The following is a 17075-nucleotide window of genomic DNA, read 5'->3' on the forward strand; positions in this document are numbered from 1 at the left end:
GCCCTGCGCCCCTGCCCCCATACACCCACTGTTCCTTGCCCTCCTCCTGGGATGGACTCTGTCTGGGATGGCCTCACCTCTCTCTAGGACTCCCTCTGGCATGGCCAGCCTCAGCCCTGGCCAGGGCTGAATTACTGTGGCCTCCTGGCTTTTGGGACCTGCAAGTTAGCTTCCCAAGGTGCTGCCCTCTGGCCTGCCCTGCCCTGCCCAACCCCCCAACGCTGCCCGCTGCGCCCCCGCGGGGCCCAGCCAGATGTCAGCTGCAGTTATTAGCCTGGGCGGGAGACACAGGCCTGGCAGTGTGCCTGCCAGACTCACAGGCCTCCGGAATCTCCCTTGAGCCTGGGGAGGGGGAGGGGAGCCATTCAAGCAAGGGGAAGAAGGGAGGGGGCATTTAGGGGTCACAGGGACCCTCCAAGGACGGGACGCCCCCAGCTTCTGCTGGGACCTTCCTCCAGCAAGGCCACTGCACTGCTGGACTTCCCCCTGCCCCCACATAGCTCAGTTTCTTTTTCGCCTCTTTCGTTTTCCTTCTCTTTCCCACACTTGGTGAGATCTAGGCTGCCCCGGAATGGCTGTTTAACCCCTATCCCTTAGCCTCTTTCTACCCTAAAGAAGAGAGAGGCTCTCTTCATCCTCCAGAAGACAGAGGCCTGGGAAGCTGAGAGAGAGAGAGAGAGACAAAGAGAGAGAGAGAGAGACAGAGACAGAGACAGAGACACTAGGCTTCTCACCTCTTGGTCTAGTGGGTTCACACACTAACTGCTCGGAAGTCCCACCTTAAGTCTAACTGGAAGCCTGACCGTCTGCACCTCGCCGCAGCCCTTCCCGGGAAGGGGCTCTGGGTTCCCTCATATTCTCCCCTTAGATTTTCAGGTCTTCTCTGACTCGGGGAGGGAAGCTCTCAGATGACAGAGCTACTCTAGGGAAGGAGGGGGGCTCCCTCTAGGTATTCTGGATGATAGTAGGATGGGACCTGCAGACTAAAACGAGAGTGGGGCCCCTGACTCACATGAGTGAGTGGGGGGTGTTGGGGACGGAGCTCCAGATCTCCTGGCAGAAGGGAAGGGCACCCCACCCGAGGGAGGAGGCAGCCGCCGTTCCAGCCCGCCCAGGCGCCGGGGGCGCCTCGAGGCATCGGCCCGCCCTCTCCGCGCCCCGTCGGGCCGGGGGCGAAGTCCGACCCAGGCCCGCGGGCAGGCGGGGACCTGCCGGGCTGGGTTGGGCCAGGCCGGGCCTGGCAGGACGCAGCCCCAAAGCGGCGGGGTGGGGCGGGGCCGGGCCAGGCGGCCGTGGGGGCCCCGGGGGCGGCGGTCGGGGCTGGTCGGGACTAGCAGTCTGGGGGCCCAGGCGCGCCCTGGGACCTGGCAGATAGTCGGGTTCCCCGCTTCTGGCTCGGGGCCCCAGGACAGCGCTGGTCCCACCTCTTCCTGTGCCCTAATATGGGCGGCGGGGAGAGACTTCGGGGGCCGGCCCGCGCTCAGTCCTGCCCGCGGACTCCCGCCTGTTGCCATGGCGACCAGGCCCCGCTCCTCGGCTGCGTCCCCCGCCGTCGGGCCAATGGAACACTCCCCAAGCCGCCTGCCTCCGCGGTCCCCTGCAGGCACCGCGGGCGGAACCATTGCTTGAGGGGAGAGGATGGTGGCTGGAGGCTGCCGCGGCTGGGCGGGCTCCAAGCACCCGGGCCTCCGCGGGGGCTCGCACGCCCAGGTTCCTCTTCCGAGGCGCAGGATGCGGCGGGACCCAGGGCGGGGCGCACGGTCCCGTAGGATCCGAGTGACGGAGACAGGGCCGGGCTCCTTCCCCCGGGGCTGTTGCCACACTTCCTGCCTCTGCGCTCTTTCCCCAGCCTGTTTCTAAGGAAGGGAGTGGGGTTGGGCGACCGCGCCCCAGCCGTCGGGCTGGGTCCAGGCTCTAGGAGCCGACACGGTGTTGGGCAAAGCCCAGGGTCAATAGGGGAGGGTTTTAGGATGGGGGACAGAGAATACAGATGACTAAGAGGTTACCATCGAGGGGGAGCAGCAGTCGTGGAAGATCCAGCAGTCCTGGTGCGCGGGACCCTCAAGGCCCCCTCCTCACATGTCAACTGAGTACCCTCTTATTGTCTTCTCTGCTCCGAAGATGTGTCCGGCCCCTTCTAACTCTCTCCTTCATCCGGGCTAGCAGATGACCCCAGTGGTCCCCAATTTCTGGCAGACATGTCTCCATCTTCTACCTGGCATATTTTACCTGCCTCAGTGTACCCCAGGCCGCTTACTAGCTTTCTGCATATCTAGACTTCCCCTAATGCCTCCTTCCCGCTTACGGGAGAGCCTCAGACTCTGGACTCAGCTCCCATGAGCTCCTGGACCCCTACTCATTTCTTGCAATTTAATGGGTCATGCAGCTCCACCCACTCACCCCTTTTGATCTCTCCCCTCCTCCGTCCTGTGAAAATTCCAGTCCCGCATCCTTCTGAGCCCGGGACCCCCAGTCAATTCCTGGGTCAGGTGTCTCCTTAACCCTCCCGATTTACAGTGCTTAACCCTCATTTCTGCTTTTTGGGGTCTCCCAATGGATTGTCAGTCCTCCTACCCCTCTCGTATTCTGGGTACCTCAGGGGTTTCTTCGCACATACTGGGACCCTCACCCCACTTGCTGCGTACCAGGTCCTGGTATTTGTCCCAGTGGACTCCAGGGAAATCATCCTCCTCCCTGAAACCCCTCACTCATGTGCCTGGGCCCCCCAGCACCTCCTTCCATGCGTACCCCGAGGTCCTTTGAGCCCCTCCCCCTGCAGCCCCGCCGAGCCACCCGGCCCGTGGCCGCTGTTTACAAGGACACGCGCTTCCTGACAGTGACGCGAGCCGCCTCCTCCCCTTCCCCACGCTCGAGGAGGGGGGCGCGGGGGCCCGGCTCCGGCGACGGCCAATCGGAGCGCACTTCCGTGGCTGACTAGCGCGGTATAAAGGCGTGTGGCTCAGGCTGAGCGGCTGGGACCTTGAGAGCGGCCAGGCCAGCCTCGGAGCCAGCAGGGAGCTGGGAGCTGGGGGAAACGACGCCAGGAAAGCTATCGCGCCAGAGAGGGCGACGGGGGCTCGGGAAGCCTGACAGGGCTTTTGCGCACAGCTGCCGGCTGGCTGCTACCCGCCCGCGCCAGCCCCCGAGAACGCGCGACCAGGCACCCAGTCCGGTCACCGCAGCGGAGAGCTCGCCGCTCGCTGCAGCGAGGCCCGGAGCGGCCCCGCAGGGACCCTCCCCAGACCGCCTGGGCCGCCCGGATGTGCACTAAAATGGAACAGCCCTTCTACCACGACGACTCATACACAGCTACGGGATACGGCCGGGCCCCTGGTGGCCTCTCTCTACACGACTACAAACTCCTGAAACCGAGCCTGGCGGTCAACCTGGCCGACCCCTACCGGAGTCTCAAAGCGCCTGGGGCTCGCGGACCCGGCCCAGAGGGCGGCGGTGGCGGCAGCTACTTTTCTGGTCAGGGCTCGGACACCGGCGCGTCTCTCAAGCTCGCCTCTTCGGAGCTGGAACGCCTGATTGTCCCCAACAGCAACGGCGTGATCACGACGACGCCTACACCCCCGGGACAGTACTTTTACCCCCGCGGGGGTGGCAGCGGTGGAGGTGCAGGGGGCGCAGGGGGCGGCGTCACCGAGGAGCAGGAGGGCTTCGCCGACGGCTTTGTCAAAGCCCTGGACGATCTGCACAAGATGAACCACGTGACACCCCCCAACGTGTCCCTGGGCGCTACCGGGGGGCCCCCGGCTGGGCCCGGGGGCGTCTACGCCGGCCCGGAGCCACCTCCCGTTTACACCAACCTCAGCAGCTACTCCCCAGCCTCTGCGTCCTCGGGAGGCGCCGGGGCTGCCGTCGGGACCGGGAGCTCGTACCCGACGACCACCATCAGCTACCTCCCACACGCGCCGCCCTTCGCCGGTGGCCACCCGGCGCAGCTGGGCTTGGGCCGCGGCGCCTCCACCTTCAAGGAGGAACCGCAGACCGTGCCGGAGGCGCGCAGCCGGGACGCCACGCCGCCGGTGTCCCCCATCAACATGGAAGACCAAGAGCGCATCAAAGTGGAGCGCAAGCGGCTGCGGAACCGGCTGGCGGCCACCAAGTGCCGGAAGCGGAAGCTGGAGCGCATCGCGCGCCTGGAGGACAAGGTGAAGACGCTCAAGGCCGAGAACGCGGGGCTGTCGAGTACCGCCGGCCTCCTCCGGGAGCAGGTGGCCCAGCTCAAACAGAAGGTCATGACCCACGTCAGCAACGGCTGTCAGCTGCTGCTTGGGGTCAAGGGACACGCCTTCTGAACGTCCCCTGCCCCTTTACGGACACCCCCTCGCTTGGACGGCTGGGCACACGCCTCCCACTGGGGTCCAGGGAGCAGGCGGTGGGCACCCACCCTGGGACCTAGGGGCGCCGCAAACCACACTGGACTCCGGCCCTCCTACCCTGCGCCCAGTCCTTCCACCTCGACGTTTACAAGCCCCCCCTTCCACTTTTTTTTGTATGTTTTTTTTCTGCTGGAAACAGACTCGATTCATATTGAATATAATATATTTGTGTATTTAACAGGGAGGGGAAGAGGGGGCGATCGCGGCGGAGCTGGCCCCGCCGCCTGGTACTCAAGCCCGCGGGGACATTGGGAAGGGGACCCCCGCCCCCTGCCCTCCCCTCTCTGCACCGTACTGTGGAAAAGAAACACGCACTTAGTCTCTAAAGAGTTTATTTTAAGACGTGTTTGTGTTTGTGTGTGTTTGTTCTTTTTATTGAATCTATTTAAGTAAAAAAAAAATTGGTTCTTTATTAATTTCTGTTGTCTTTTTTTCCAAGCTGGGAGGGCGGGGGGAAAAAAAAAAGCACTGGTTTGCCCCCAGCTCAGTGCTGTTGGTGGCTCGGTCCTGTATGTGTCCCCCTCGTCGGTTCGGCGCAGGCATCTTGTGGTCCCAGCCCAGGAGTCCCACCCTTCCCGCGTCCCCAGATCTCCAGGGTTGGATGGTTGGGGCGCGGGACGCGGTCCAGGGACCCAGGAGCTGAAGGCAGGGTGCTCCGGCCGAGACTTGGAGTGCGCAGGCGCGTCCCCGCCCAGCCGCGCGCGCCGGGGCTTTCCCCGCTGACGCAGCGGAAGCGCTGCCCATACAAGGACCGATTCTGCCCAGTGACGCGACCGCGGTCTCTGGGCAGATTCCGGGAATCCCCTCCCCCGCTCTGCCGGGCAGGGCCGCGGCGCCGGGAAGGGGGCCGGGATTTTCCCGGGCAGGCGGCTGCCCGGGCACGGAAAGCCCCAGGCCTGGGTCCAGAGCGCCCGCGGTGGGCGGGCAGCGCTCCTGGGCTCCGGGAGCCACCCCTGTGCCACCTTCAAGACACTGGCGCCTAGGCCCCGCCGCGCCCACGCCCCCTCCGTCTGACCTGACCGGGGCGGAGGGTTGCTGCTGCCTCCGCTGCTTTGCCGACGCCGTCCCCTCTACCCCCACCCCCTCCAGGAAGGGCGGCGCCCGCCTGCCAGTTTCCCCTCACGGGTGCCAGGCCAGGAGCGGGGCGACTGCCAGGTCTGGTCCTGCCGGGGCGGCTGCTCGGGCCGCTGGGCGCCGCCACCGCCCTCGCGCTGGGCTCCCTCCCGCGCAGCTGGGACACGTGGAGGTGGGGGTGGGGGTGCTGGTGCTGCTGGCCCGCCTAGAGGGAGTCTGGCCGGCTTCGGGGTTGGAAGCCCCCAGAGCAGTGGAGAAAAACAGGTAGAGAAACCAGACAGGCAGTAGGGTGAGTGGAACAGACACTTCATCAATTCATTTGTACAATACCTAGAACAACTAGACCCTGGAGACACAGCCTGGACCACTCCAGACAAGACAATAAATAAACAAGCAAACATGGTTCTTTGGGGGTGGTGGTAAGTGCTAGTAAGAGGAAAAAAACAAACTAAAACAAACAAAAAAAAAAAACAAAAAAAAAAGGTCAAGGTGGCAATGATGGGGCAGGGAGGAAAGATGCTTTGCAGAATGGAGTGGGAACATGGACCTTTAATAGGGTGACTTTTTCTTTTTTATATTTTAGAGACGGGTCTTTGTCCTGTTGCTCAGGTTGGAGCGCAGTGGTGCAATCATAGCTAACTGCAGCCTAGACCTTCTGTGCTCAAGCAAGCCTTCCACTTCAACTTCCCAACTAGCTAGAGCTACAGGCATACACCACTATGCCTGGCTAATTTTGTTTATTTTTGTAGAGATGGGGTCTGCTATGTTGCCCTGGCTGGTCTGGAACTGCTGGGTCAAACAGTCCTCCCGCCTTGGCCTTTCAAAGCACTGGGATTCCAGGCGTGAGCCAGTGCTCTTCTCCTGCAGTGACTTTTTTTTTTTTTTTTTAGACAGATTCTTGCTCTGTCACCCAGACTTGAGTGCAGTGGTGCGATCTTGGTTCACTGCAACCTCTGCCTTTCGGGTTCAAGCGATTTTCCTGCCTCAGCCTCCCAAGTAGCTAGGATTATAGGTGCCTGCCACCACGCCCTGCTAATTTTGTATCTTTAGTAGAGACTGGGTATCAGCACGTTGGCCAGGCTGGTCTTGAACTCCTGACTTGAGGTCATCTGCCAGCCTCGGCCTCCAAAATGCTGGGATTACAGGCGTGAGCCATCGTGCCTGGCCATGACTTTTCAACAGATTTGAAGAAGTGGGGTCCTGAGAAAATCCTGGGTAACAACAGCATCAGAGGTAACAGTTTTTTGTTTGTTTGTTTGTGTTTTTTAGATGGAGTCTCCCTCTGTCACCCAGGCAGGCTGGAGTGCAGTGGCTCGATCTCAGTTTACCGCAACCTCCACCCACAGGATTCAAGCGATTCTCCTGCTTGGCCTCCCAAGTAGCTGGGTCTACAGGCGTGCATCACCATGCCAGGCTAATTTTTGTATTTTTAGTAGAAACAGGGTTTCACCATGTTGGCCAGGCTGGTCTCGAACCCCTGACCTCAGGTGATCCGCCTGCCTGGGCCTCCCAAAGTGCTGGGATTACAGGCCTGAGCCACCCCGCTCAACTGGGAGCAGCTTTTTTTTTTTTTTTTTTTGAGACGGAGTCTCGCTCTGTTGCCCAGGCTAGAGTGCAGTGGCACGATCTCGGCTCACTGCAAGCTCTGCCTCCCGGGTTCACGCCATTCTCCTGCCTCAGCCTCCCAAGTAGCTGGGACTACAGGCACCTGCCAACATGCCTGGCTAATTTTTTGTATTTTTAGTAGAGAGGGGGTTTCACTGTATTAGCCAGGATGGTCTCGATGTCCTGACCTCGTGATCCGCCCGTCTCGGCCTCCCAAAGTGCTGGGATTACAGGCGTGAGCCACTGCGCCCGGCCTTGGGAGCAGCTCTTAAATGGCAAAATTCATGTAGCCAGGTGAGCCTGTGAAAGAACAGCAGGAAGCCAGCCTGTCTGGAATGGAGTGAACCACAACAGGGCAGATGTCAAGGGAGACTGAGCAGGGGCCTTGGGGAGGAGTGTAGATTAAATTCCAAGGGAGATGAGTGACCCTTAGAGGGTATTAGGTGGGTACCAGCATTAATAGTGGATCTGTGGATTAAATGAGCATATTAGCCCTGTTCTGTAGGAGGAAATTGGGGCATAGAGTAGCAAAACTACTTTCCTGAACGCACACAATATTAAACTGCACCCCTGGGAACCCTGCCTTGCTGCTAATACCTGCCTTCTAGCCTAACTGCCACCCTCCCACCCCAGGGGCAGACAGGCAACCTTTCCAGCCTGGGGTGGGGCAGAGCTCACAGCAGGGACTCTGCACTCTGCACGTAGCTCAGGCTCTCATTCTTGGTTCTGCTCTTAAGACTGGGTCCCCACCCTCTTCCCCATAAGACTACACTGGGCTGGGTTCCTTTCAGCTCGAGGAAGCCGTCTTAGGAACTAGGAACTGGGCCCTACACAGGGGCCTCAGCCCCGAGCTTCACATAACTTATCTCCTACAAATTTTACCACGTGCATGGTGATCTGGGTTTGCAGTCCCATTTTACTGCTGAAGAGACCCAGAGACGATCACAGCTCTTAAACGGCATTTGAACCCAGGCTGGCTGGTGACAAAATGTGGGCTTTGCCTTGCATGGCCAGATTTCTGGATGTAGGGCATCCTGGGATTTGCAAGGGACAAACGGCATACCCTACCCCTCCGAAACCGCCTTGAGCGCAAGCAGGAAAAGAGCAGGCACTAAGCATGTGATAAGACCGCCACCGTGTGGCGAAGATGAGCAACCACAGGGTCAGTTTCCCAAGCCTGAGCCTGAAGAAGGAAGGGGGTTGCAGGGGAGGACGAAAGGACAGAGCACACCAACACAGACTCACACCTTTCCCTAATACTTTATTGGTTACCTCTAGGCCTGTGTGCGGCTGGGTGGGCTTGGGGGAGGGCGTCACTATTCAGCTTCTAGGTGGAGGCATGAGAAGGCCTTGGCCTAGCCCTCCAGGGTCCCATACTGTGGAGTTTGGAGGGGCAGGTCTGGCCTTTCCTGGGTCAGCATAGGGCACCCAGGTGGGGGCACAGGTGGACACCCAGCACAGGCACCTAGGCAGGGGCACAAGCTCACTATCCGTTAGCCAGCCTAATTGTGTTTGGAGAAATATTCCTTGCTGTCATCCACGTTGGGCTTAATCGTGTCACTGCCAGGCTTCCAGCCAGCGGGACAAACTGTGGGAAGACACAAGGATGCACATGAAGGCTACAGCCCCAGGTTCAAGGTGAAGCAAAGCAAGGGCCTGTGTTGCAGAAGAAAATGCTGGAAGCAAGTGGTCCAGGCCCAGGAATGTGGATATTAAGATAAACCCTCCAAGCCCAGTTCAGTATTTTTTCTTTTTTTTTTTTTTCAGACAGAGTCTTGCTCTGTTGCCCAGGCTGAAGTACAGTAGCATGATCTGAGCTCATGCAACCTCTCCCTCCTGGGTTCAAGCGATTCTCATGCCCCAGACTCCCTAGCTGGAATTACAGAGGTGCACCACCACGCCTGGCTAATTTTTGTATTTTTGGTAGAGACCATGTTAGTCACGCTTGTCTCGAACTCCTGACCTCAAGTCATCTGCCCGTCTTGGCCTCCCAAAGTGCTGGGATTACAGGTGTGAGCCACCATGCCTAGCCAAGTTCAGTATTTTCTCTTTTTCTTTTCTTCTTTTTTCTTTCTTTCTTTTTTTTTTTTTTTTTTTGAGACAGAGTCCTCCTCTGTTGCCCAGGCTGGAGTGCAATGGCGTGATCTCGGCTCATTGCAACCTCTGCCTCCCGCGTTCAAGTGATTCTCCTGCCTTAGCCTCCTGAGTAGCTGGGACTACAAGTGCCCGCCACCACACCCTGCTAATTTTTTGGTACTTTTAGCAGAGACAGGGTTTCACCATATTGGTCAGGCTGATCTCGAACTCCTGACTTCAGGTGATCCACCCACCTTGGCCTCCCAAAATGCTAGGATTACAGGCGTGAGCCACTACACCTGGCCAAGTTCAGTATTTTCTAGCTGGTGTTTTTCCTACTCTTAATTCTTCAATTTCTTTTTGCCACCCAGCTCTCCTTTTTCTTCTTTTTTTCTTTTCTTTTTTTTTAAGATGGAGTCTTGCTCTGTTGCCCAGGCTGGAGTGCAGTGGCACGATCTCTGCTCACTGCAAGCTCCGCCTCCCAGGTTCACGCCATTCTCCTACCTCAGCCGCCAGAGTAGCTGGGACTACAGGCGCCCGCCACCACGCCCGACTAATTTTTTTGTATTTTTAGTAGAGACAGGGTTTCACCGCGTTAGCTAGGATGGTCTCGATCTCCTGACCTCTTGATCCGCCCGCCTCAGCCTCCCAAAGTGGTGGGATTACAGGCATGAGCCACCGTGCCCGGCCTCTTTTTTTTTTTTATTTTTTGAGACGGAGTTTCGCTTCACTCGTTGCCCAGGCTGGAGTGCAATGGCACGATCTCAGCTCACTGCAACCTCCGCCTCTCAGCTTCAAACGATTCTCTTGCCTCAGCCTCCCAAGTAGCTGGGATTACAGGCATGCACCACCAGGCTGGGCTAATTTTGTATTTTTAGTAGAGACTGGGTTTCTCCATGTCGGTCAAGCTTGTCTCGAACTCCCGACCTCAGGTGATCCACCCACCTAGGCCTCCCAAAATGCTGGGATTACAGGTGTGAGCCACTGCATCTGGCCTCTTTTTTTTTTTTTTTTTTTTTAACCAATACCCCATCTCTTAAAAAAAAAAAAAAAGAGATGGGGTATTGCTATGTTGCCTAGGCTCGACTCAAATTCCTGGGCCTAAGCAATCTTCTGCCTCACTCTCCAGAGTAGGTGGAACTACAGGCATGAGACACAGCATCTACAGGCATGAGACACAGCATCTTCCTGTCTTTTTGGCTCCTTTAGTCCCATCTTTGTCCCTCTGCCCCACCCCTACAGGTTTTTTTGTTGTTGTTGTTTTTGAGATGGAGTCTCACACTGGCGCCCAGGCTGGAGTGCAGTGGTGTGATCTCGGCTTACTGCAACCTCCTCCCGGGTTCAAGGGAGTCTCCTGCCTCAGCCTCCCAAGTAGCTGGGATTACAGGCACCTGCCACCGCACCCAGCTAATTTTTTTGTATTTTTAGCAGAGACGCGGTTTCACTATGTTGGCCAGGCTGGTCTCAAACTCCTGACCTCATGATCTGCCCGCCTCGGCCTCCCAAAGTGCTGGGATTACAGGCGTGAGCCACCGCGCTCGGCCTGTTTGTTTGTTTTTTTGAGACAGGGTCTTGCTGTGTCACCCAGGCTGGAGTGCAGTGGTGCGATCACAGCTTACTGCAGCCTTGACCTCCCAGGCTCAAGTGATCCTCCAGCCTCAGCCTCTTGAGTAGCTGGGACTATAGGCATGCTTCACAAACCAAGCTAATTTTTTTTTTTTTTGAGACTGAGTTTTGCTCTGTTGCCCAAGCTGGAGTACAACGGTGCGATCTCAGCTCACTGCAACCTCTGCCTCCTGGGTTCAAGCGAACTCCTGCCTCAGTCTCTCAAGTAGCTGGGATTACAAGTGTGCACCACCACGGCCAGCTAATTTTTTGTGTTCTTCGTAGAGACGGGGTTTCACCATGTTGGTCAGGCTGGTCTCGAACTCCTGACCTCAGGTGATCCACCTGCCACAGCTTCCCAAAGTGCTGGCAATACAACCGTGAGCCACTGAGCCCGGCCCCTTTGTCCACCTTGGTTGAATGTCAGGCGTTATTTGTCTCCTACCACATTAGAAACATCCTGCAGACAAAGCCCTGAGCTGAATCTTCTTTGGGGCCCTAACACCCATCTGGACAGGTAAGAGGACAGGCAGTGAATGTTTGCATGAGTGACGGAGGCGCTCAGTATGTACCCATGTGTCATGTGTGTATCTGCTCACCTTCCCCATGCTCGTCTGTGTACTGGAAGGCCTGGACCAGCCGCAGAGCCTCATCCACGGAGCGTCCCACAGGCAAATCATTAACAGTGATCTGGCGAAGGACACCCTTGCCATCGATGATAAAGAGGCCCCTGAAGACATCAGGGTTCCCAGTGAGGAGCTGATAGCTCCCACTGCCAGAGACAAGGAAGGGACTACCAACCACCCGCTGCTAGCCACAGGGCTGGGGGCAGAGAAGACATTGTACAGGAGTGGTCCCAGCATCACAGGAATGGGGGGCAGGGCGCTCCCTGAGCCGGGCTGAGGGTCCCACAGTACCTGTAGGCAATGCCCTCATCTGTTTTCAGCACGCCGTAATCCTCAGACAAGCGTCTGGTCACGTCAGCAAGCAGGGGGATGTTCAGGGGGCCCAAGCCTCCCTCTTTCCGGGGGGTGTTGATCCTGGGAGTAGGGGAGACAGAGTTGGGGCCTCAGGATGCCTGGCACAGCAGGGTCCTCACCCTGTGGGCCCAATGTGATAAGCACTGGAGGCCGGAGATAAGGGGCTTTAGAGTAGGCCGCTGGGAGCCTCACCCACCCCACCCTGGGTTGGGTGCAAGGACTGTATCCCCATGGCTGGGAAGACTGAGTTTGAGAGGCACAGCTCCAGCTAAGTGGCTTCACATGTACTTGTAACTTGCAGCATCACCCAGCAGAGAGCCTGTGTTAAGAGTCCCCATCCTCCTCTAGCTGTGTCATGGGGTACAGCCCTTCACTTCGGTGAACTGGAGTTTCCATCTTCATGAAATAGGGCAGCACAGCCTCCCTCCTGGGAACTAAGTACATAGAGTAGATAGAGTTGCATCTGAGTTGCATCTGCAACTCTATATACCAGGCAACTAGTTGTCAAATGCTAATTACTGTCATCATCCTTAAAGACTTGGGCGGCAATGTTTCCATTATTTTCACGATGGGGAAACGCAGGTTCCAGAGGTTGAGCAATGGCCACGAAGCCACACTGCTAGGACCTGAGGGTGTGAGCTTAGCTGCAACCTCCCTCTTTGGCCCCTGCTCATACCAAGCCAGGTGGGTGAACTGAGAGTCCACCGAGACGCCCAGCACTTCACAGCCCAGCTTGCGGAAGTCCTCTGCACGGTTGCTGAACGCGATGATCTCGGTGGGGCACACAAAAGTGAAGTCCAGAGGGTAGAAAAAGAGGACCACGTACTTCCCTGGGGAGGAGGGACACAGAGGAGTTAGGGCCCAGCTTCTCTCATGCACGGCCCCGCTTCTACCTGGGCCCCCTCCGGGCGGCGCTCACCTTTGTAGTCCGACAGCTTCACCTCTTTGAAGGCGCCATCAACCACCGCTGTGGCCTTGAAGTCAGGGGCTGGCTTTCCGATGCGCGCGTTACCGGAGGCCATGACTGAAAGCTGAGACCCCCGCCCGGTCAGTGCGCCCGGGAAGACACTTTGTCCTCCCAACCCAAGGTCGCGCTGCGTGCTGGGCCCTATGACTGAGTCAGCACGGCGGAGGCGACAGCACTAACCCTCACCCTCCCGGGTACCCGGTCTACGAGGCCCGGAGGCTGCCGGAGACCCGCTCTCCTGACCAGAGCACGAGTGACCCAGCCACTGCCACCAGCACCCCACGAGCGAGTCGGCCGGAGGGCGGTGTCGCAAGCCCCCAGCCCAGAAGGAGACAGTGAGGCCCGCACGAGCAGGGGGCGGGAAGTCGGGCGATCAGGCCTGCGCTGCAAGGCTGTGGCCTCGGTTTCCCCCGCAAGGACAAAGGAGGCCACTATAGCGGATGGAAAGCAAAGGCGGCCAGCACTAAAGTCAGGATCGGGCCAAAGCAGCCTGAAGGGGGTCCTCCCGCCAGGTGCACTCCGGGTGTTCATACCTGCGTGGGCAAAGGCTAGACGCACGGACGATCACACGCGTGGACCCGCGTTCTCAGCGCCAAGTGAGCCCTGGGCCGCGAAGCCTTTTATGCCCGGCCCGAACCAAGACGTGCACGGCGCGGGGGAGGGAGCGGACGAGCGGAGCGGTCGGGTCCACTGCGCCCGCAGGTGCGGGGGAGCGTGCGGCCGGGTCCATGCGCCTGCGGGCGGCGGGGGGAGACGCGTTGCCTTCGGCCGGGACCACTGCACCTGCCCGCGTGGGTAATGCGCCCGCCGCAGACTCCGCGCACGACTCCGCCTGGGAGCGCGTTGGGGGCCGTTGGAGTCCAGCATGGCGCGGACCCCGGGGGCGCTGCTGCTGGCGCCTCTGCTACTCCTGCAGCTGGCGACCCCTGCCCTGGTCTACCAGGACTATCAGTACTTAGGGCAGCAGGGCGAAGGTGACAGCTGGGAGCAGCTGAGGCTGCAGCATCTAAAGGGTAACCTCAGGCGGCGGGGATGACGATGCCCAAAGGCTCCCCGTTGCCCTACTTCTCCTGCTGGCTGCAAAGGGACCTTCCTCGGCGGGCTGCAAATCTCCACCCAGCTCCGCACTGGAGGCGTCCCCTTGGGCTGGTTACTTTTCTCTAAGGCTCGGTTTACTCTTGGATATATTGAAATAGATACTGCTTTAAAGCAGCTCCCAGGGGAAGAGAGGGTGTGGGCAGGACACTGAAGCTGTCACTCGGGGATAGGTGCCAGGAAGGGCAGAGACAGAGAAAGAAGGGGGCGGGCAAGCTTGGGAAATCAGAGAGGGTCCGATTGCAGAAGACCCGTGACCAGTGCAGCGAGAACGACAAGCGAAAGTCCCATATGGAAAGATTTGGGGAAAGAATGTCCAAGGAAGAGGGAATAGCAAATGCCAAGGTGAAAAGTCCTGAAGGAGAAATGGAAAGAGGTCGGTGAGGTGTGGCAGAGACATGGGTGTGGGAGGGTAGGAGGTGTCAGACCTTGGTGAGCGGTGAGTTGGGATAAGATCGGAGTTGGGATAAGATCTGTCTCATAGGGGAAAGGGGCAGATTCAGTAAAGAGCCCTTTAAAGTGATCACAGTGGCCGGCGCGGTAGCTCACGCCTATAATCCTAGCACTTTGGGAGGCTGAGGTGGGAGGATCCCTTGGTCTCGGAGACCAGACCAGCCTGGCCCACACAGCAAGACTCCATCTCTACAAAAAATATTTTAAAATTAGCCTGACTTGATGGCCCAGCACTTTGGGAGGCCGAGGCGGGAGGACTGCTTGAGCCCAGGAATTCAAGACCAGCCTGGGCAACATGGAGAGACCCCCTACTCTACAAAAATAAATAAATAAATAAAAATAAAAAATAAATTAGCCTGCCATGGTGGCATGCGCCTGTAGTCCCAGCTACTCAAGAGGCTGATACAGGAGGACCATTTGTGCCAAGGAGTTTGAAGCTGCAGTGAGCCATGATTATGCCCTTGCATTCCAACCTGGGTAACAGAGCAAGATCTTGTCTCAAAATAAATAAATTAAATAAATAAACAAACTGATCATAATAAATTGGTTTGTATATGCTAGCACAGCACCGGGAGATTTACTTACCTTCATTATGTCAATTATGCCATTTATCACTTGACAACCCTGCTGTCAGGTGGCATTGTGCCTTCTAGGTAGGGCCATGGTCACACCCCTGAAGACAGAAGTCAGCTTCAAATGGCGGGCACCAAGGATGTTGTAGGACACTCACAACTGGGCAGGCTGGCACAGCCTGGAAGTGTCAGGTTGTAGTTCCTCTGGCCCACTTACCCCGTATATGAGCTTGGAAGGTTGGCTTGCTGTCTCTGGGTCTTGGTTTCCCCACCTGAGACTCGTGGAAATATTAAATGAGGCCAGGCATGGTGGCTGGCTCACACCTGTAATCCCAGCACTTTGGGAGGCTGAGATGGGAGTATCACTTGAGCCCAGGAGTTCCAGACCAGCCTGGGCAACATGGTGAAACACCGTCTCTGCAAAAAATACAAAAAATTAGCCAGGCACAGTGGCATGTGCCTGTAGTCCCAGCTACTTGGTAGGCCGAGGTAGGAGGATTGCTTGAGCCCAGGAGGTTGAGGCTGCAGTGAGCTGTGACTGCGCCACTGCACTCCAGCCTGGGCGACAGAGCGAGACCCTGTCTCAAAAAAAAAAAAAAAAAAAAAAAAAAAGCTTAAATGAGATAATCTGTGGCAGGGTGTCTGGCATAGAAGCAGAGTCTAGCGAATATGTGCTTCTCTTATTCGTTAGTATCTTTATCTTTCTCCCTCTCTGGGGGAGGGGATTGGGAGTAGGCCCCCTCCACGTAGGTCTTCACCTCTGCCCTCCTTCTCTAGAAGTCGAGGACTCAATCCTTGGCCCGTGGGGAAAGTGGCGGTGTCTCTGCGACCTGGGCAAGCAGGAGCGCAGCCGCGAGGTAGTGGGCACAGCGCCGGGCCCGGTTTTCATGGACCCGGAGAAGCTGATCCAGTTACGGCCCTGCCGGCAACGGGATTGTCCATCCTGCAAGCCCTTCGACTGCGACTGGAGGCTCTGAGCCCGGGTGAGAGAGCAGGGCCGGGGCAAGTTGCGGGGCCCAGGGTGGGCGCGGAGGGAGGATGTGCGGTGCGGGGCGGGTATGAAGCGAGTTTGAGGAAGGGAGAACTGGGGCTCCAAGTCTTGAGTGACTTGAGGCTGATTTGGTTAGGGGGAAGCTGAGTCAGGAGCCGTGAGCCCCGCTGATATCTAGGGAGAAAAGGAGAAAAGTGGAGGGGGCGCCGGGCGCCGGGGCTCACGCCTGTAATTCCAGCATTTTGGGAGGCCGAGGCAGGCGGATCTCTTGAGTCCTGGAGTTCAAGATTAGTCTGGGCAATATCGTTGAGATCACCTCTCCATAAAAATTTTTAAAATTAGGCCGGGCGCGGTGGCTCACGCCCGCAATCCCAGCACTTTGGGAGGCCAAGGCAGGCGGATCACAAGGTCAGGAGATCGAGACCATCCTGGCTAAAACGGTGAAACCCCGTCTCTACTAAAAATATAAAAAATTAGCTGGGCGCGGTGGCGGGCGCCTGTAGTCCCAGCTACTCGGGAGGCTGAGGCAGGAGAATGGCATGAACCCGGGAGGCGGAGCCTGCAGTGAGCCGAGATCGCGCCACTGCACTCCAGCCTGGGCGACAGAGCGAGACTCTGTCTCAAAAAAAACCAACCAAACAAACAAACAAACAAAAACATTTAAGTTAGATGAGCGTGGCGGCACATGCCTGTGGTCCCAGCTACTCGGTACGATGGGGAGGAAGGATCGCTTGAGCCTGGGAGGCAAAGGTTACAATAAGCCGAGATCGCTACACTGCTATCCAGCCTGGGCAACAGAGTAACATCCTGTCTCAAAAAAAAAAAAAAAAAAAAAAAAAAAAAAAAAGTGGAGGGGGAGGCGAAGAGGAGTAAAAGGAGATAAAGAGACAATGAACTAGGACCCTGAGGAAGGGGCATGAGCCTGGTAAGGGGCGGGAACCCACAGGCAGAGGACATGAGCCCCAGTGAGCCCAGGGAATAGAAGTGGTGGATGCCAGGCACTGTGGCTGGCTCAGGCTTGTAATCCCAACACTTTGGGAGGCTGAGGCGACCGGATCGCTTGAGCCCAGGAGTTTGAAGCCAGCCTGGGCAACATAATGAGACCCCGTCTCTACAAAAAATACCAAAAATAGTCGGGCATGGTGGTGTGGTGTGCACCTGTAGTCCAGCTGCTTGGGAGACTGAGGTGGGAGGATCGCGTCAGCCCAGGAGGTGGAGGTTGCAGTGAGCCAAGATCGCGCCACTGCACTCCAGCCTGGACAACAGAGA

At 57.8% G+C, this 17075-nt stretch overlaps 4 protein-coding genes across 4 annotated transcripts in view, besides 23 other annotated features; 2 read left to right on the plus strand and 2 right to left on the minus strand.

Annotated features, from left to right (window-relative positions):
- The window catches only part of HOOK2 (hook microtubule tethering protein 2), a 29348-nt gene extending 25509 nt beyond the window's left edge, over positions 1-3839 (minus strand). The window contains exon 1 of the mRNA NM_001400043.1: positions 3813-3839. The gene's annotated coding sequence lies outside the window, so the exon portion shown is untranslated. The remainder of the gene's footprint in view (positions 1-3812) is intronic.
- Positions 64-633: an enhancer, noted in NCBI's record as "active region_14079". NCBI's record gives its function as "activates an Ori minimal core promoter by ATAC-STARR-seq in GM12878 lymphoblastoid cells {active_cell/tissue: GM12878}" and the evidence as "EXISTENCE:reporter gene assay evidence [ECO:0000049][PMID:35858748]".
- Positions 1084-1853: a silencer, noted in NCBI's record as "silent region_10171". NCBI's record gives its function as "represses an Ori minimal core promoter by ATAC-STARR-seq in GM12878 lymphoblastoid cells {active_cell/tissue: GM12878}" and the evidence as "EXISTENCE:reporter gene assay evidence [ECO:0000049][PMID:35858748]".
- Positions 1084-2037: a biological region, named in NCBI's record as "CRISPRi-FlowFISH-validated JUNB regulatory element". NCBI's record gives its function as "regulatory_interactions: JUNB".
- Positions 1320-1840: a transcriptional cis regulatory region, noted in NCBI's record as "intergenic|chr19:12900645-12901165 region (GRCh37/hg19 assembly coordinates) targeted for CRISPR interference". NCBI's record gives its function as "positively regulates JUNB gene expression in K562 cells {active_cell/tissue: K562}" and the evidence as "EXISTENCE:mutant phenotype evidence [ECO:0000015][PMID:31784727]".
- Positions 1538-2037: an enhancer, noted in NCBI's record as "H3K27ac hESC enhancer chr19:12900863-12901362 (GRCh37/hg19 assembly coordinates)". NCBI's record gives its function as "activates a minimal SCP1, AML or CMV promoter by ChIP-STARR-seq in naive H9 embryonic stem cells {active_cell/tissue: H9 hESC(naive)}" and the evidence as "EXISTENCE:reporter gene assay evidence [ECO:0000049][PMID:30033119]".
- Positions 2338-2949: an enhancer, noted in NCBI's record as "H3K27ac-H3K4me1 hESC enhancer chr19:12901663-12902274 (GRCh37/hg19 assembly coordinates)". NCBI's record gives its function as "activates a minimal SCP1, AML or CMV promoter by ChIP-STARR-seq in primed H9 embryonic stem cells {active_cell/tissue: H9 hESC(primed)}" and the evidence as "EXISTENCE:reporter gene assay evidence [ECO:0000049][PMID:30033119]".
- Positions 2338-3293: a biological region, named in NCBI's record as "CRISPRi-FlowFISH-validated PRDX2 regulatory element 3". NCBI's record gives its function as "regulatory_interactions: PRDX2".
- Positions 2680-3234: a transcriptional cis regulatory region, noted in NCBI's record as "promoter|chr19:12902005-12902559 region (GRCh37/hg19 assembly coordinates) targeted for CRISPR interference". NCBI's record gives its function as "negatively regulates PRDX2 gene expression in K562 cells {active_cell/tissue: K562}" and the evidence as "EXISTENCE:mutant phenotype evidence [ECO:0000015][PMID:31784727]".
- Positions 2714-3293: a silencer, noted in NCBI's record as "silent region_10172". NCBI's record gives its function as "represses an Ori minimal core promoter by ATAC-STARR-seq in GM12878 lymphoblastoid cells {active_cell/tissue: GM12878}" and the evidence as "EXISTENCE:reporter gene assay evidence [ECO:0000049][PMID:35858748]".
- Positions 2975-4804, plus strand: JUNB (JunB proto-oncogene, AP-1 transcription factor subunit). The gene has a single exon (NM_002229.3). It carries the CDS (start codon positions 3261-3263, stop codon positions 4302-4304), a length of 1044 nt encoding a protein of 347 aa, NP_002220.1. The 5' UTR covers positions 2975-3260; the 3' UTR covers positions 4305-4804.
- Positions 3664-3773: a silencer, noted in NCBI's record as "silent region_10173". NCBI's record gives its function as "represses an Ori minimal core promoter by ATAC-STARR-seq in GM12878 lymphoblastoid cells {active_cell/tissue: GM12878}" and the evidence as "EXISTENCE:reporter gene assay evidence [ECO:0000049][PMID:35858748]".
- Positions 4824-4943: an enhancer, noted in NCBI's record as "active region_14080". NCBI's record gives its function as "activates an Ori minimal core promoter by ATAC-STARR-seq in GM12878 lymphoblastoid cells {active_cell/tissue: GM12878}" and the evidence as "EXISTENCE:reporter gene assay evidence [ECO:0000049][PMID:35858748]".
- Positions 4824-5779: a biological region, named in NCBI's record as "H3K27ac hESC enhancer GRCh37_chr19:12904163-12904664".
- Positions 4838-5339: an enhancer, noted in NCBI's record as "H3K27ac hESC enhancer chr19:12904163-12904664 (GRCh37/hg19 assembly coordinates)". NCBI's record gives its function as "activates a minimal SCP1, AML or CMV promoter by ChIP-STARR-seq in naive H9 embryonic stem cells {active_cell/tissue: H9 hESC(naive)}" and the evidence as "EXISTENCE:reporter gene assay evidence [ECO:0000049][PMID:30033119]".
- Positions 4964-5023: an enhancer, noted in NCBI's record as "active region_14081". NCBI's record gives its function as "activates an Ori minimal core promoter by ATAC-STARR-seq in GM12878 lymphoblastoid cells {active_cell/tissue: GM12878}" and the evidence as "EXISTENCE:reporter gene assay evidence [ECO:0000049][PMID:35858748]".
- Positions 5114-5763: a silencer, noted in NCBI's record as "silent region_10174". NCBI's record gives its function as "represses an Ori minimal core promoter by ATAC-STARR-seq in GM12878 lymphoblastoid cells {active_cell/tissue: GM12878}" and the evidence as "EXISTENCE:reporter gene assay evidence [ECO:0000049][PMID:35858748]".
- Positions 5574-5779: a silencer, noted in NCBI's record as "fragment chr19:12904899-12905104 (GRCh37/hg19 assembly coordinates)". NCBI's record gives its function as "represses an EF-1alpha promoter that drives an FKBP-Casp9 reporter gene in an ReSE screen in K562 erythroleukemia cells {active_cell/tissue: K562}" and the evidence as "EXISTENCE:reporter gene assay evidence [ECO:0000049][PMID:32094911]".
- Positions 7708-8117: an enhancer, noted in NCBI's record as "active region_14082". NCBI's record gives its function as "activates an Ori minimal core promoter by ATAC-STARR-seq in GM12878 lymphoblastoid cells {active_cell/tissue: GM12878}" and the evidence as "EXISTENCE:reporter gene assay evidence [ECO:0000049][PMID:35858748]".
- Positions 8312-13289, minus strand: PRDX2 (peroxiredoxin 2). The gene is made up of 6 exons (NM_005809.6): positions 13229-13289; positions 12648-12759; positions 12405-12558; positions 11666-11788; positions 11348-11478; positions 8312-8655 (listed from the first exon to the last, which is right to left on the minus strand). Exons 2-6 carry the CDS (start codon positions 12748-12750, stop codon positions 8570-8572), a joined length of 597 nt encoding a protein of 198 aa, NP_005800.3. The 5' UTR covers positions 12751-12759; positions 13229-13289; the 3' UTR covers positions 8312-8569.
- Positions 12367-12566: an enhancer, noted in NCBI's record as "active region_14083". NCBI's record gives its function as "activates an Ori minimal core promoter by ATAC-STARR-seq in GM12878 lymphoblastoid cells {active_cell/tissue: GM12878}" and the evidence as "EXISTENCE:reporter gene assay evidence [ECO:0000049][PMID:35858748]".
- Positions 12894-13452: an enhancer, noted in NCBI's record as "H3K27ac-H3K4me1 hESC enhancer chr19:12912219-12912777 (GRCh37/hg19 assembly coordinates)". NCBI's record gives its function as "activates a minimal SCP1, AML or CMV promoter by ChIP-STARR-seq in primed H9 embryonic stem cells {active_cell/tissue: H9 hESC(primed)}" and the evidence as "EXISTENCE:reporter gene assay evidence [ECO:0000049][PMID:30033119]".
- Positions 12894-13649: a biological region, named in NCBI's record as "CRISPRi-FlowFISH-validated RNASEH2A regulatory element". NCBI's record gives its function as "regulatory_interactions: RNASEH2A".
- Positions 13052-13237: a silencer, noted in NCBI's record as "fragment chr19:12912377-12912562 (GRCh37/hg19 assembly coordinates)". NCBI's record gives its function as "represses an EF-1alpha promoter that drives an FKBP-Casp9 reporter gene in an ReSE screen in HepG2 liver carcinoma cells {active_cell/tissue: HepG2}" and the evidence as "EXISTENCE:reporter gene assay evidence [ECO:0000049][PMID:32094911]".
- Positions 13100-13649: a transcriptional cis regulatory region, noted in NCBI's record as "promoter|chr19:12912425-12912974 region (GRCh37/hg19 assembly coordinates) targeted for CRISPR interference". NCBI's record gives its function as "positively regulates RNASEH2A gene expression in K562 cells {active_cell/tissue: K562}" and the evidence as "EXISTENCE:mutant phenotype evidence [ECO:0000015][PMID:31784727]".
- Positions 13247-13636: a silencer, noted in NCBI's record as "silent region_10175". NCBI's record gives its function as "represses an Ori minimal core promoter by ATAC-STARR-seq in GM12878 lymphoblastoid cells {active_cell/tissue: GM12878}" and the evidence as "EXISTENCE:reporter gene assay evidence [ECO:0000049][PMID:35858748]".
- On the plus strand, positions 13558-15878 carry THSD8 (thrombospondin type 1 domain containing 8). Its single transcript, NM_001386800.1, has 2 exons — positions 13558-13708; positions 15593-15878. Exons 1-2 carry the CDS (start codon positions 13561-13563, stop codon positions 15790-15792), a joined length of 348 nt encoding a protein of 115 aa, NP_001373729.1. The 5' UTR covers positions 13558-13560; the 3' UTR covers positions 15793-15878.

This window comes from Homo sapiens, chromosome 19 (genome assembly GCF_000001405.40).
Source record: "Homo sapiens chromosome 19, GRCh38.p14 Primary Assembly".
Lineage (NCBI taxonomy): Eukaryota > Metazoa > Chordata > Mammalia > Primates > Hominidae > Homo > Homo sapiens.